This window comes from Homo sapiens, chromosome 9 (assembly GCF_000001405.40).
Source record: "Homo sapiens chromosome 9, GRCh38.p14 Primary Assembly".
Lineage (NCBI taxonomy): Eukaryota > Metazoa > Chordata > Mammalia > Primates > Hominidae > Homo > Homo sapiens.
In genome coordinates this window covers 27,341,700-27,355,649 of record NC_000009.12, presented here as the reverse complement: position 1 = coordinate 27,355,649, position 13,950 = coordinate 27,341,700, and the positions used below count along the sequence as shown (strand labels likewise).

The 13,950-nt window shown below is 44.0% G+C and overlaps 1 protein-coding gene across 6 annotated transcripts in view, besides 1 other annotated feature; it reads left to right on the top strand.

Annotated features, from left to right (window-relative positions):
• MOB3B (MOB kinase activator 3B) overlaps positions 1-13,950 on the top strand; it is a 204,606-nt gene that overhangs the window by 174,165 nt on the left and 16,491 nt on the right. The gene's annotated exons all lie outside the window — the stretch shown is intronic.
• Positions 1,057-2,038: an enhancer, noted in NCBI's record as "OCT4-NANOG-H3K27ac-H3K4me1 hESC enhancer chr9:27353610-27354591 (GRCh37/hg19 assembly coordinates)". NCBI's record gives its function as "activates a minimal SCP1, AML or CMV promoter by ChIP-STARR-seq in naive H9 embryonic stem cells {active_cell/tissue: H9 hESC(naive)}" and the evidence as "EXISTENCE:reporter gene assay evidence [ECO:0000049][PMID:30033119]".

Here is a 13,950-nt window from a genome sequence, read left to right as displayed (position 1 = left end):
AGGCAGAGCTTGCAGTGAGCCGAGATCACGCCACTGCAGTCCGGCCTGGGCAAAAGAGCGAGACTCCGTCTCAAAAAAAAAAAAAAAGAAGAAAAAGAAAAAAACTATGCTCTCAAGAAATTTACAATACAGTCTGAAAAATATAAAATAATAAATGTCACCCATTTTTGACCCTCAAAGGATGATGAAGGAGTCAGGCATTTGGCTTCACATTCTAGTTGTACATTTTTTAGAATTGAATGCAGCTGGGGCCAGAAGGGCAGCATTTGTCCAGCCAGTTTCCCTTAGAACATTGGCATTCCCAGAGTTCCCACGCCACCGGTGGGACATTCTTGGTGTCATGCCTTGGGATTCCACAGTATGGAACTCTGAGACCCCCCCACCACCTCATCTTTCCCTCTGCCTTGCCTCCACCATGCACAGCCACACATCTCTTTGTTGCTTTTGTCTCACGTGGACTGAGTATCTACCACACAGGTTGTGCTGAGGATCCATGCAGCACCCTACTGGGGTAGGAGAGTCAGTATCATACAGTGCCTAAGAAAAGTCTTAGACTCTGTGGGTTCCAACCCTGGACCCTGCATTTACTAACGTGCAAACTTGAGCAAGATATATGGCTTTTCAAAGCTTCATTTTCCTCATCCATAGCATGGGTATAATAATAAGAGTTATAAAAATTAAATGGGTTAGTCACGTGGAAGTGCTTAAGAAATGTTAGCTAAGTGAGACAATGACTGTAACAGTAGCTGGGCTGTAGTTAGTGGATGTTCCTGAATTCTGTCTTCCCTAGCTCCCATGACCTCTTTTCTGTCTTAACGATTGATTCCCTAGGTAGACTCCTAGCAAATGTAGTTAATTGTATTTGTATCAGTCACTCCCATGGGATTGTCAACTCTTTGAGGGCTGGGAATATAAAGGACATATTCCTGCATTGCTTAGGGTTCCTGGTACCTAATAAATGCTTAATATGTTTTTGAATTGGGGAGAGTACTTTAAGGATGATGCACCTCCATTCAAAGGGATTACACACTGGTCACTCTCTTCAATACGCCCCTTATCTCAGAACATGCATGCAGACCTCCACTTACCCATTTCCATGTTGGGACTAATGCTTCATCCTGTCAGATTAGCAATAGACATTAAAAGCAAAATAAGACAGAGAGCAGGGATGCATCATAAGCTTTAGGTCTCACAGAGAAAGACGAGGCCTCAACTCTTAGTCATTCTCTGTTCCAAATTCCAGATAGATCACCCAGGAAATCTTGAATCCTCTCACACTGCTTTTGTGCCCTGGTGTGTCAGGCAAAGGATAACCAACCCTCTCTGTTTTAGCAGTGAAATTCTCATGTCCTAGGAAAACTCTTGGTGTCTGTCAAACTAGGACGGTTGGTCACCCTATCAGGCCTCTGAGTGGGAATACAGTTTGGAATTCAGAAGCTGGGAAGAGGTCACCCTGGCTAGCCTGGTGAAGACCAGCACATCCATCCACCCCCAGAGCTTGCCTCATGGCTCCCATTGGGACCTGCTGTTCAGCCGCTATGGCTGGCAGCCTGGGAACCCAGGCAAACACATGCCATTTCACTTGGTCTCCAGCAGGGAGGGGGAGCCTGGCACACTGACACAGACACAGACGTGACAGATCATCCATTGCTCATGTAAATGCAACAGCTGAAGATAACTTGAACTGAAGCAAGTTCCTTGTTGGAGGAAACAGCCCAAATGATGCTGATAATTAGAAAATGGGCCAGGCCCTGATTGAATAAGCAGGCTGCTGTTGGCCCTTGGCTGCCAGGGAGTCAGCTGACACAATTAAGCTAATCAGAATTATCATTAGCAAGCACGAATAGCCCGCAGTGTTTTGTTGGCCTTTCACTGAAAACAAAAGCAGACTCAGAGAGGGCTGTTAGCAATGCAGTAGTTGTGAATGAAGAGCTGATTAGGGCAGGGGGAGGACAGAGATTCGTGAGGTGGGGAGGACAGACAGGAGGGGACTTGTTTACCCTAATGCACCTGCTAACCCCTGGGTGACCTTGGTCCAGGACCTTCTCATTCTCTCTCCAAGGCTCCATTTTCTTGTTTCTAACAATGAAAGTGATTATACCACCACCTACCTTGTAGAGCTGCTGCTGTGAAAACCAATGTTACCACAGAGCTGTTCTGTTACCTTATAGCAGGGTGCTTGGACCATAGGGGTTTCTCAGGAGTCCACACACACACACGTGCATCAGAATCTCCTGGAGGAAGTACTTCATAAGTACATTCTTGGGCCTCACCCCAGATACACTAAATCAGAATTATTAAGATTAGTGCCTAGTACCAAGCACCCTCAGTCTGCATCTCAAACTTTAATGTGCATGTGAATCACCAGGGATCTTGCTGAAATGCAAGTTCTGATTCAGTACATCTGAGAGGAGGAGACTCGAGAATGTTCATTTTGCTCCCAGATGATATCGATGCTGCTGGTTCCCAGACCACACGTTGAGGGAAAAGACCCTAGATGACAATTACCCTCAAATGTGAGAATTACCATTTTTAGCACTTCATCTCTTCTCCTCTAGGATTGGGAGTTAGCTCAGTGGGGTGGGGAAGTAAAGCAAAAAGGAGAAAAATCTGAAGATCAGTGTTTGCCAAGAGAGCTCCTCAAAATGCCAGTCCTGAGTGATGGTCAGTGAAAACAGACTTCCTTCTGTGGTCAAATGAGTTTACAAAATACTACATCGTCTCCACCCTTGAAGATTTACAGTGTACAATAGCATATCAAAGCCTTTGAGAAGGTATCCAGTAAAGAAACTTGTTCAATTTTGTGTAGCCCGCCCAATTTAACTGCATTTGGCTACTGGACTTTTTTCTTTTGCTATCACTCATTGACATCTTAGAGATATCATGATCCATGGAACACACTCTGGGCAGCACTGCTCATCTTTGTGATGTGATGTGTCTCTAGATTTTTCTATTTTCCTCATGCCTCCACCCTGGCCTCAAACCACACAGCCACCACTGCCGCATGGAGAGGGAGGTGGGAAGGAAGTGAAACTCCATATGGGAGGGCTTCACACACACACAGGAAGTGCAGTCCTTTTCATTGTTGCTCCTCATCCTCCCACATCATCATATGACAGACACCCCTTCGTGGAATTCTTACCATGTGCATGACGCACAAGCATTTTCAAGAAATAATTAATAACTTCATTTCTTCAGTTCCAGATAATCTGTTAGTTCCTCTTGACATATATTATTTCATCTCCTCACACTTGTTACTTTTTTTTTTTTTTTTTTTTGAGACAGGGTCTCACTCTGTCACCCAGGCTGGTGTGATCATGGCTCACTGCATCCTCTAGCCTCCTGGGCTCAAGTGATCCTCCCACCTCAGCCTCCTAAGTAGCTGGGGCTACAAACACATGTCACCACACCTGGCTAATTTTTAAATTTTTTGTAGAGACAGGGTCTCACTACGTTTCCCAGGCTGGTCTGGAACTCCTGAGCTCAAGTGATCCTTCTGCCTTGACCTCCCAAAGTGCTGGGATTACAGATGGTACCTGGCCAGACTTGTTACTATTATTTCCAGCAGATGTGATGGGCAGTTTCTCAACATCTGAACCACATTCCTCTCCATCCCTTATCACTGCCATTTTGTCACACCAAAGTGCATGTCCCACCCCCAGTGTGTAGGTGCCTCTTGGCTAATGATTGAGATTTATGGTAGGCTCTACCACCAAAACTATCCTCTAAAAACGGGTGCTTTTTAGAACAATTTGAAGACCAAAGATTTGGAAAGCCTTGTCTCATAAAGGCCCAGCCACAAGCCTATCCAGGCCCCAGAATACACTGACCTCATGTTGCCCTAAGAGGTAGCCAGGCCACACATACACTTCTCTCAGAGTTGCTTGGGTGAGTGCAGCAGCCAAGGTTGGCCTGCAATGGTAAGATCAAGTCAGGACTGTGAAAAGAAGCAGAACCTCTCGCATGAGCCAGAGCTACTCCCTAAAGTAGCCAGCAATGAAGAGCCATTGTGGGGCTTTTGAAAGGACCTTTTCTTTTGAAACATCATCTGTACAGAGGCCTCTGGGTTGCTTCTTGTCAGGCGGCTTCCTTGGCCTTCAGCCAGAAGGCTTGATGTGGACTCAGCCATTATAGAAGAAAGAGCTGCAGCCTGTGAAGCTGACAGTTTGGCCTTTACAATGGCATTTCCACTATTATGCTACCACATTAGTTACCACATGGGGCAAGGCATGTAATGGCTCTGAGCCTCAGTTTCCCCACCTGTAAAAGACATCATCCCTAGAATCCTCCCAGCCTGACCTACAGAGATTACTGATGGGTCACTACTAAGATTACTGACCTACTGGGATTACTACTGATATGATGTGTCAGCAGCCCTGTCATCTTTCATCCAAGACAACCGTTTCTCTTTGCTTAGAGAGCCCTTCATGGATTAAAGCCCACTGTGGGCCAGGCGTGGTGGCTCACGCCTGTAATCCCAACACTTTGGGAGGCCTAGGCGGGTGGATCACCTGAGGTCAGGAGTTCCAGACCAGCCTGGCCAAAATGGTGAAACCCCATCTCTACTAAAAATACAAAAATTAGCCAGGCGTGGTGTCAGGTGCCCATAATCCCAGCTACTCAGGAGGCTGAGGCAGGAGAATTGCTTGAACCCAGGAGGCGGAGGTTGCAGTGAGCCGAGATCGTGCCATCACACTCCAGCCTGGGGCACAACAGCGAGACTTCGTCTTAAAAAAAAAAAAAAAAAAAGCCCACCATGGCAGCAGAGGGGCAGAGGGGGTGTACATGTTGCCAAGAGTAGCTGGAGTGTGCATTCATGGGGCTTTGCCAGTTCAGATGACAAGTATATGTGTGTCCAGGGTGGCATCGGCTGTTGGTGGTTGTTCAGGATAATGCAAAGGCTCAGAGATTAGTGGGAGGGCCTGCCAGATATCATTTTAGGAGACTTGGCAGATGTATTCTAAAGTGTCAATTGGAAAAATAGCAAAGAAACATGATTATTTCCAATGAATTGCCTTATGCTGGGTAACTGGGGATGTGGCAAAAATAGCCACATGTCTCTGCCAGTCCTATTTATTCATCCCTTGTTGATGTCCAGAGAACTTTTGCTTCTAGTTTATAGGGTGTTGGGTGGTTCATTTTTGTTTTAGGGTTTCTCTTTGTTTCTAATTTGGTCAGAGATGAGATGTGGTCTGATTTGTTTCAGGGCCTAAAATATGATCAATTATAGTTGAAGATGTCTCTCATGGGAAAATTGCTAGCATATAATATTAAGTAATAAAAGCAGGATACAAAACTGTACTGGAAAATCACTAATCATATGTCCACAGATGATAAAGGAAATAGAGCAAAAAGTGCCAACAGTGGTTCTCTCTTGGTATTACTATAGATAATGCTTTTTTTTTTTTTTTTTTGGTATATACTTTTTGGGGCTTTCTAAGTTTTCTGTCACAAACATGTGTCACTTTTCTAATCAGAAAAATCAAACTTTATACTTGAAAAGGCTTTTCCAACCACTTGTGACTACTGAGATTAACATTAAATTAAAAATTAGTTTCTTAGCCTTACTAGCCACATGTTAAGTGCTCAAAAGCCACATGTCTAGTGGCTATTGTATTGGATATCACAGATACTGAACATTTTCATCATTGTGGGACATTCTCTCAGACACCACTGAGCCAGAGGCTCTACCTTCAAGAGCTACTTTTTATAACCCACTCTTAACAACCACTCCCTCCACAAAGAGCTGCCAGATGTGTTCACATTGTCTCCATGCTGCCACATGAGGCATTTCCGTTCATTGTTTAAGCCCCCTAGTATGGTTGCTTCTCTTTGCTAAGCCACTTCTCTCCTACTTTATTGATAGGAATAAATAAAACTCAGTACCTTCTGCTCAACATTTCTCCCTAGATTTCCCATCAGAACCTCCACCTCAGGAAGCTGCTCAGTATCTTAGGGGAGCTGTTGGTCAGAGACACCAAATAGTAATTGTACTTTTTTATTTTTTTAATGTTCTCTGCAGTGTTGGAAATTGCTGCAGGATGTCAGTCACAGCAGGGATTAATTCGTCTTCATGAGCATTTACATGAAAATGTAAATAGTCAGTATGGCTTGATGCCCATATATAAGCCTGCCAAATTTTGGCTGCTATGTGTGGTCTAGACTAGTTTAAATTTCCCGGCCAGATAAGATTAGATTCTTTGGCTCCAAAAATGTCAAGCGAGTATTAACTTGGGGTTTGAATGAAGGAAGGTTTTATTTATTGAAACATAACATTATATTTTCTCCCACCACCCACCTGTCCCACCACAATAAAGGCATGAAGATAAGGCAGGTTACAGGCAGTACCTAGCCTAGGGACTTGTGTGGTCACTTGTGTGGTCTCAGGAGCACTTCCTCCTATGAAACAATTTTATACATAAAGGTCAGATATACAAACCACCAGCAAAGCCAGTTAAGCTATAATGTGGTACTGGAACATAATACTAATTAGTATTAATTCCAAGATGTTGGTGCTAATAGAGTCCTATTACATTGTGCATCTAAGTGTAAATGGACCAATAGACAAGAATAATGCCTGGAGGCAGATCTGGAAGAAGAAAGAGATATGCAGATAGCTCCATAGGGAACTTCCCAGAGTTCTTTGAATGGGCCATGTCCTCTCACCCCCAGGCCATTGTATGTACAACTCCTTTGGCTTCCATGTCCTCAGCTTAAGTCCTGCTCATCCTGCAAGTCTAGGCCTAATTGTCCGCTTCTCAGAGACAAACACCTTTCATTTGAAACGTTAGGTTTCTGCTGGCTACTCCCAGAATGCCCTGATATCAGAGAGGGCAACCAAGATGGAAATCACCATGTATCTTCTACAGACTAGAGTCAGAAGTGATAACCCAACCTTCTTCCCACTTTCCATTCATTAGAAGTAGGTTACTAAGTCCAGCCCACACTAAAGGAAAATTAAGGTCTATTTCTTTCTTTCTTTTTTTTTTTTTATTTTGAGATGGAGTCTTGCTCTGTCACCCACACTGGAGTGCAGTGGCATGATCTCGGCTCACTGCAACCTCCACCTCCCTGGTTCAAGCGATTCTCCTGCCTCAGCCTCCAGAGCAGCTGGAATGAGAGGTGCATGCTACTATGCCCGGATAATTTTTTTATTTTTAGTAGAGATGGGGTTTCACCATGTTGGCCAGGCTGGTCTGGAACTCCTGAACTCAAGTGATCCTCCTGCCTCAGCCTCCCAAAGTGCTGGGATTACAGGTGTGAGCCACCAGGCCTGGCCATATTTCTTGAAGAGAGAAATGTTAAATAATTCTTCATATGTTAAATAATTTTAAAATATTTTTAAACCACCACAGAGACCAACATTTTTAAACTGGTGATGTTTTTCTTTGACCTCTGCATTTCTCTTTCTTTTCCCATTTTCTACATCCTACAGCACAAGTCTGCTACCTCTCCAAAGTGCTCATTGCTTAAGAAATCTGACTCCGTGAAAACTCCTATTACCTCAGTGTGGTTTCTTCTTCCTCCCCTTCCTTGAAAGAAGCCAGTCTAGCCAACTATCTACACTTTCTCACTTCCCTTTCAATTCACAGTAACTTGCCCTCCACCACTCCACCACTCCAGAAACCTGGTCTTTCTACAGAAGTACAGTCATGTGTCACATAATGATGGGAATACATTCTGAGAAATGTGTCTTTAGGCAACTTTGCCATAATGTGAAGATCATAGAGTATACTTACATAAAAATAGATGGTGTAGCTACTACACACCTAGGCTATGTGGTATAGCCTATTGCTCCTAGGCTATAAACCTGTACAGCATGTTACTATAATGAATACTGTAGGCAACTGTAACATAATGGTAAGTATTTGTGTATCTAAATGTAGAAACAGTACAGTAAAAATACAGTGTGAAAGATAAAAAATGGTACACCTGCCTAGGGCATTTGCCATGAATGGAGCTTGTAGGACTGGCAGTTGCTCTGGGTAAGTCAGTAAGCTTATACTTGCTTACCTCCACCCTATACCTTCTCCCAGAATCCATCCTACACGCAACACCTTGGCTAGACCTAATGGTGTTTTTGTTACCCCCTGCTGGCAGCGATCACCACCCTACCCTAGAAGTCCATCCCCCAAGACTGCACTTCAGAAGCCTGGCACCTCACCTGTGCTATGGCACCCATTATGCAAACCCCAGTATCACCAGGGCGCTACGTTCCAGGAACATGGCTGGGTGCTGAGGATACAGTGATAGGCCAGGCTTGGTCCTCAGTGTGAGCCTGCTTCTATGTGCAGGCATATGAAAGGTCTTACTTTTCCCACTGGTAAAAATAAAAAGGCATAGCCAAGATCAGCAGTTACCAAACTGTGGCCCTTAGCACACAGGTTCTATAATTTGCTGGGTGAAGCTGGAACCTAGTTCAGGGACTTCACCTAACCTGAGCTGCAACATCTCTCTCGTGAATGGCATGTATGTAAGACCACATTAAAAGAAATGGTTTCTGCTGCTAAAATAAGTTTTAAATCCATTAGGATAGGTTTAGATTCCCTCCAGTTCTGGCATGTTGTGGATCCAGAATAACATAGATTGTCACTGCCTTTCCTTTTACTTTGTTTATTTCTAATAGTATAATTCTGTTTATTTTATTTTATTTTGAGATAGAGTCTTGCTCTGTTACCCAGGCTGGAGTGCAGTGGCATGATCTTGGCTCACTGCAACCTCCACCTCCTGGGTTCAAGCAATTCTCCCACCTCAGACTCCCGAGTAGCTGGGACTACAGGTGCGTGCCACCACAACTGGCTAATTTTTTGTATTTTTAGTAGAGACAGGGTTTCACCATGTTGGCCAGGCTGGTCTTGAACTTCTGACCTCAAGTGATCCATCCACCTCGACCTCCCAAAGTGCTGGGATTATAGGCATGAGCCACCGCACCCGGCCTCTAATGGTATAATTTTAAAATAGAGATTAATGGTAGAGATTTATGTCCACGTCTTATTAAAATATTTTCATATAGAAGAACTTTAAATGGCCTGTAATAACTATATATATTTTTTCATTTGATTTGTTCAGCTTCAGAGGATATAATAATAGGGAAGACTTTTAAGTAAAACTATGAGCCAAGTGCTGTAGGAAATGTGTTTATGTGTTACGTCATTCAATCTGCACACAAGTCTATGAGATAAATACTGTTTATCTTCATTATAAAAAGGAAGAAAATCAGATGCAGAGGTGAAATAACTTGTCCAATGTCACACAGCTCTGTGGAGCCAAGATTGAGCACATACGGTCTGATTCCAAAACCCAGATACAGCCTTTCCTAGACCATTCGGGCTGCTATAACACAATGCCTCTGGCTGGGTAATTTATAAACAACAGAAATGCACTGCTCACAGTTCTGGAGGCTGGGAAGTCCTACATCAAGGTGCTAGTATCCAATAAGGGTTTGGTATCCAATAAGGGTTTGCTCTCTGCCTGAAAGATGGTGCCTTCTCACTGCATTCTCACATGGCAGAAGGGCAAGGAAGCCCCCCATCAGGTCTCTTTTATAAGGACACTAATCCCATTCATGAGGGTGGATCCTCATCACTTAGTCACTTCCCAAAAGGCCCCACCTCTTAATACTATTACACTGGGCATTAGGTTCCAGCATGAATTTTGGAAGACACCAACATTCAAATTATAGCATGGTATTTGCTGAGGAAACTAATTTGAGGTGGATTTTTGCCCAAAGGCTTACTTACTCAACTAGATTCTGATGATCTGCAGCAGCTAGATAATTTCCAAGGGCCTCCAGCTCCACGAGCCCAGTTCTCTCCCTGTCTCAGCAGTGTGTGCTGTGGGACCACAGTCAAGTCACTTTAGATACCTGAGCCCATGAAATACACATAGTGCACATAGTTGAGCGACTCAGGTGAAACAGGAGTAAGGAGCCAATCCTAGGTGCTGCTGTAGCTCAAGAGATATGACTACTGCCCTCAAGGAGTTTGATGACTATGGATCAGAAGATCCAAAGCCAAAGTCAACAGAGTCAGGCAGGTAACAAATATCAGTTAACAGGCGAGTAGCATGAAATAGGAAGCTGTGGGGGCAACCACCATGCAACTCAACTAATAGTTTCAGGGCGGGCATAGAGGCCCAGTGCTTCCAAATCAGAAGAATTTGGAACTCTAGCATTTTAGGTGAATTCTCCAGAGTTTTAAATGATGGCAACTACTTAGAGCAGTACTTGTATTTTATTTTATTTTTAAATCTACAGATTTAAAAATCTGTAGATTTTTTAAAAACCCCTTCTGGGAGTACAGTTTGCTTAGGGATCATCTGTTTGCAGTCATGGTTCATACAGGGCCTATGGTGGGCAGGAGCAGTTCTGACCCATTACAACCTGGCAACACATCCACAGTGCCCACATTTAGAGAGCAATTTTTAGTTTTCCCTTGTCCTGAAAGCCCACAACTTTCAAGCATATGAAGCAAAGTGTTTGTGTGTGGGCTTGGGGGAGGCATATGCACCATTTCAGTGAAGACGACAAGACAGTGGTCATTTATTGGGTTGATGTCAGCTTCACCCCATGCTGCTGCATACTGGATCACCATTGCTGGCCTACAGTGACTGTATTGCTGTGGGCACCAAGAGACAGAGCATGGCTGTTCCTTTGTCATTGGCTTCACTTGACACGACCAGTGTCATCGCCAGTTGGCATTTAGGTTGTTGACCCTGTCGCGGCCAGGCCGAGACTGTAAGCAGCTTTGTTATTGTATGTGCCTATTCCAAACAGTAGAGCCTTCAGAAACCGCACTGTGGGGCACCTATGCTCTGGGAAACTGGTGGAAAGGACCAGAGTGCTCACAGCACATCCAGAAGGGATTTCATCTTATTCACCTTTGGAGAGCATTGGCAAATACACAAGAATCAAAGTAGACATTAGACCACATCCACATCCAGCTTTAATTTTACAGCCTAATGATTGAAGAAGAAGACTTTTCATTAAGGTTGGCACTCTTGCCCATATCTAAATTCCATTTTTAATTCAAGGTTTCTATTGTGGTTTCCTCTTTCTCTGGAACTCACTCTTTCCCTGACGGCTACGACAGCCTTTGTACGTATACTGCAGAGGAATCTTCATAGGTGCTCAGTGGGTGTGTTTTTTCCCTTTGGTGTCACTGGTGTAAGATGTCGGAGTTATAATAGGTTCTCAGACATAGTTACTCTATTTTGTTTTTTGTTGCTAGTGCAACGGTACTTGGCATTTTGCATTAAAAGAAGGAGATTATTCTAAATGGAATAATTCTCATTTTTCTAATACTGACAGCAATAACAGAGGGAACTGAATTAGTTGGGCATGGATGTTTTCTTGGAGACACATTACACACACAAGCACCCACATGAACATGCACTAATGCTCATTTGTCCCCATAAAGCCTCAAATCTTTCAAAACTCCTATGAGGATTTTTGTTTCGTTTCACTAATGGCCTTATGTGTAAAAATCTTCTTCCTTGAAGCTTTTGAATTTTTTTTCTAAAATGGATAGCTATGTTTTTTTTTTCCTTTCTAAATTTTTTTAATTGTGGTAAAATACACATAAGGAAATTTAGTGTCTTAACTATTTTTAAGTGTACAGTTCAGTGGCATTAAATGCACTCACATTGTCATGCAACCATTACCATCATCTATCTAGCTTCAAACTCTGTATCTTGGTACCTATGGCTTTTGTTTTTGTTGTTGTTTCTTCACATATGAATTGGGTCTTTAGGATTTGCAAGTGAGGCCAGGATGGGGAACAAAAATTACGTGAAGTAAAAGGATATCTTGCTTTATTTCTCTTGAACTGAACCAGTGCTGCTACCAATTTTCAATGCATTCCACAATTTCCCTCTTATATTGAGAGCAAACCGCAGTGTAACAACAGTAGCATAAAATGCCCTGTACTGCTAAAAAAAAAAAAAAAAAAAGGCTAAAATTCCAGCCTCATAATAAAAGACGAACAGGTGAGGAAGGAGCCCTAACAGTAAAAATGCTTTTGCCTTATTAAGTACATTTCCTGTATGTAAAATTCATATTGTTTTCATGGATCATTCACTGGGAGTCTGAGAATAAGGAAAGAAAAGGACTTGTCTCCTCTCATACTCTGAAAGCCAAAGAGGTTTAGTTCTTTTTTTTTTTTTTTTTTTTTTAGTATTTATTGAGCATTCTTGGGTGTTTCTCGGAGAGGGGGATTTGGCAGGGTCATAGGACAATAGTGGAGGGAAGGTCAGCAGATAAACATGTGAACAAGGGTCTCTGGTTTTCCTAGACAGAGGACCCCGCGGCCTTCCGCAGTGTTTGTGTCCCTGGGTACTTGAGATTAGGGAGTGGTGATGACTCTTAAGGAGCATGCTGCTTTCAAGCATCTGTTTAACAAAGCACATCTTGCACCACCCTTAATCCATTTAACCCTGAGTGGACACAGCACATGTTTCAGAGAGCACGGGGTTGGGGGTAAAGTTATAGATTAACAGCATCCCAAGGCAGAAGACTTTTTCTTAGTACAGAACAAAATGGAGTCTCCCATGTCTACTTCTTTCTACACCGACACAGTAACAATCTGATCTCTTTTCCCCACATTTCCCCCTTTTCTATTCTACAAAACCACCATCGTCATCATGGCCCGTTCTCAATGAGCTGTTGGGTATACCTCCCAGACGGGGTGGCGGCCGGGCAGAGGGGCTCCTCACTTCCCAGACGATGGGTGGCCAGGCAGAGACGCTCCTCACTTCCCAGACGGGGTGGCGGCCGGGCAGAGGCTGCAATCTCGGCACTTTGGGAGGCCAAGGCAGGCGGCTGGGAGGTGGAGGTTGTAGCGAGCGGAGATCAGGCCACTGCACTCCAGCCTGGGCAACATTGAGCACTGAGTGAGCGAGACTCCATCTGCAATCCCGGCACCTCGGGAGGCCGAGGCAGGCAGATCACTCGTGGTCAGGAGCTGGAGACCAGCCCGGCCAACAAGGCGAAACCCCGTCTCCACCAAAAAATGCAAAAACCAGTCAGGTGTGGCGGCGCGCGCCTGCAATCCCAGGCACTCTGCAGGCTGAGGCAGGAGAATCAGGCAGGGAGGTTGCGGTGAGCCAAGATGGCGGCAGTACAGTCCAGCCTTGGCTTTCACAACTTTGGTGGCATCAGAGGGAGACCGGGGAGAGGGAGAGGGAGACGAGGGAAAGGGAGACGGAGGGGGAGGGGGAGGGAGAGGGGTTTAGTTCTAAGGGACTATAGGCATGTAGAGTTCACTCCACTCTTGTTTTAGAAGCGTTTTTCTACTGATGTAACATCATTGTTCTCCCAAGACAGAAGACTGGACTATTTATAGATTAAATAAATATTGGACTATTTATTGCCAGGTCAGTTTTGGAAAGGCAGCTTGGGGATCCATTTATAACCATGTGGGTCAAAACTAGAGAGTCTCACTGGTCATGGTATTGGCATGGTGCGACGCGAGGTCAGCCAGCTTTTCTGAAAAGACCCCCATGCTAAATGCCGGGCTCTGTCCCAGTCGCTCAGCTCTGCCATGGAAGTGCAGAAGCAGCCACAGGCATTCATCCATAAATGGGTGTGGCTTACTCCAATAAAACTTGTTTATGGACATGGAAATTTGAATTTCATAAAATAATCATATGTCATAAAATATTCTTTCTTTTTTCAACTATCAAAAAATGTAAAAACCACTCTTAGCTTATGGGCCATACAAAAACAGGTGTGGACTGGATTTGACCCATGAACTGTCATTTTCTGGTCCCTGATATAGAAAAAAAGATAGGATTCCGAGGCCTGTTGATAAGATCCAAATGATATCCTGGTTTGAATTCTCGCTCTGCCAAGTATCAACCATGTAACCTTGGGCAAGTCACTAACCTTTCCAAGTTTCAGTTCCTCTCTAGGGGAAGCATAATGGCCACCCCATAGACCTGAGAGTCAGTGAC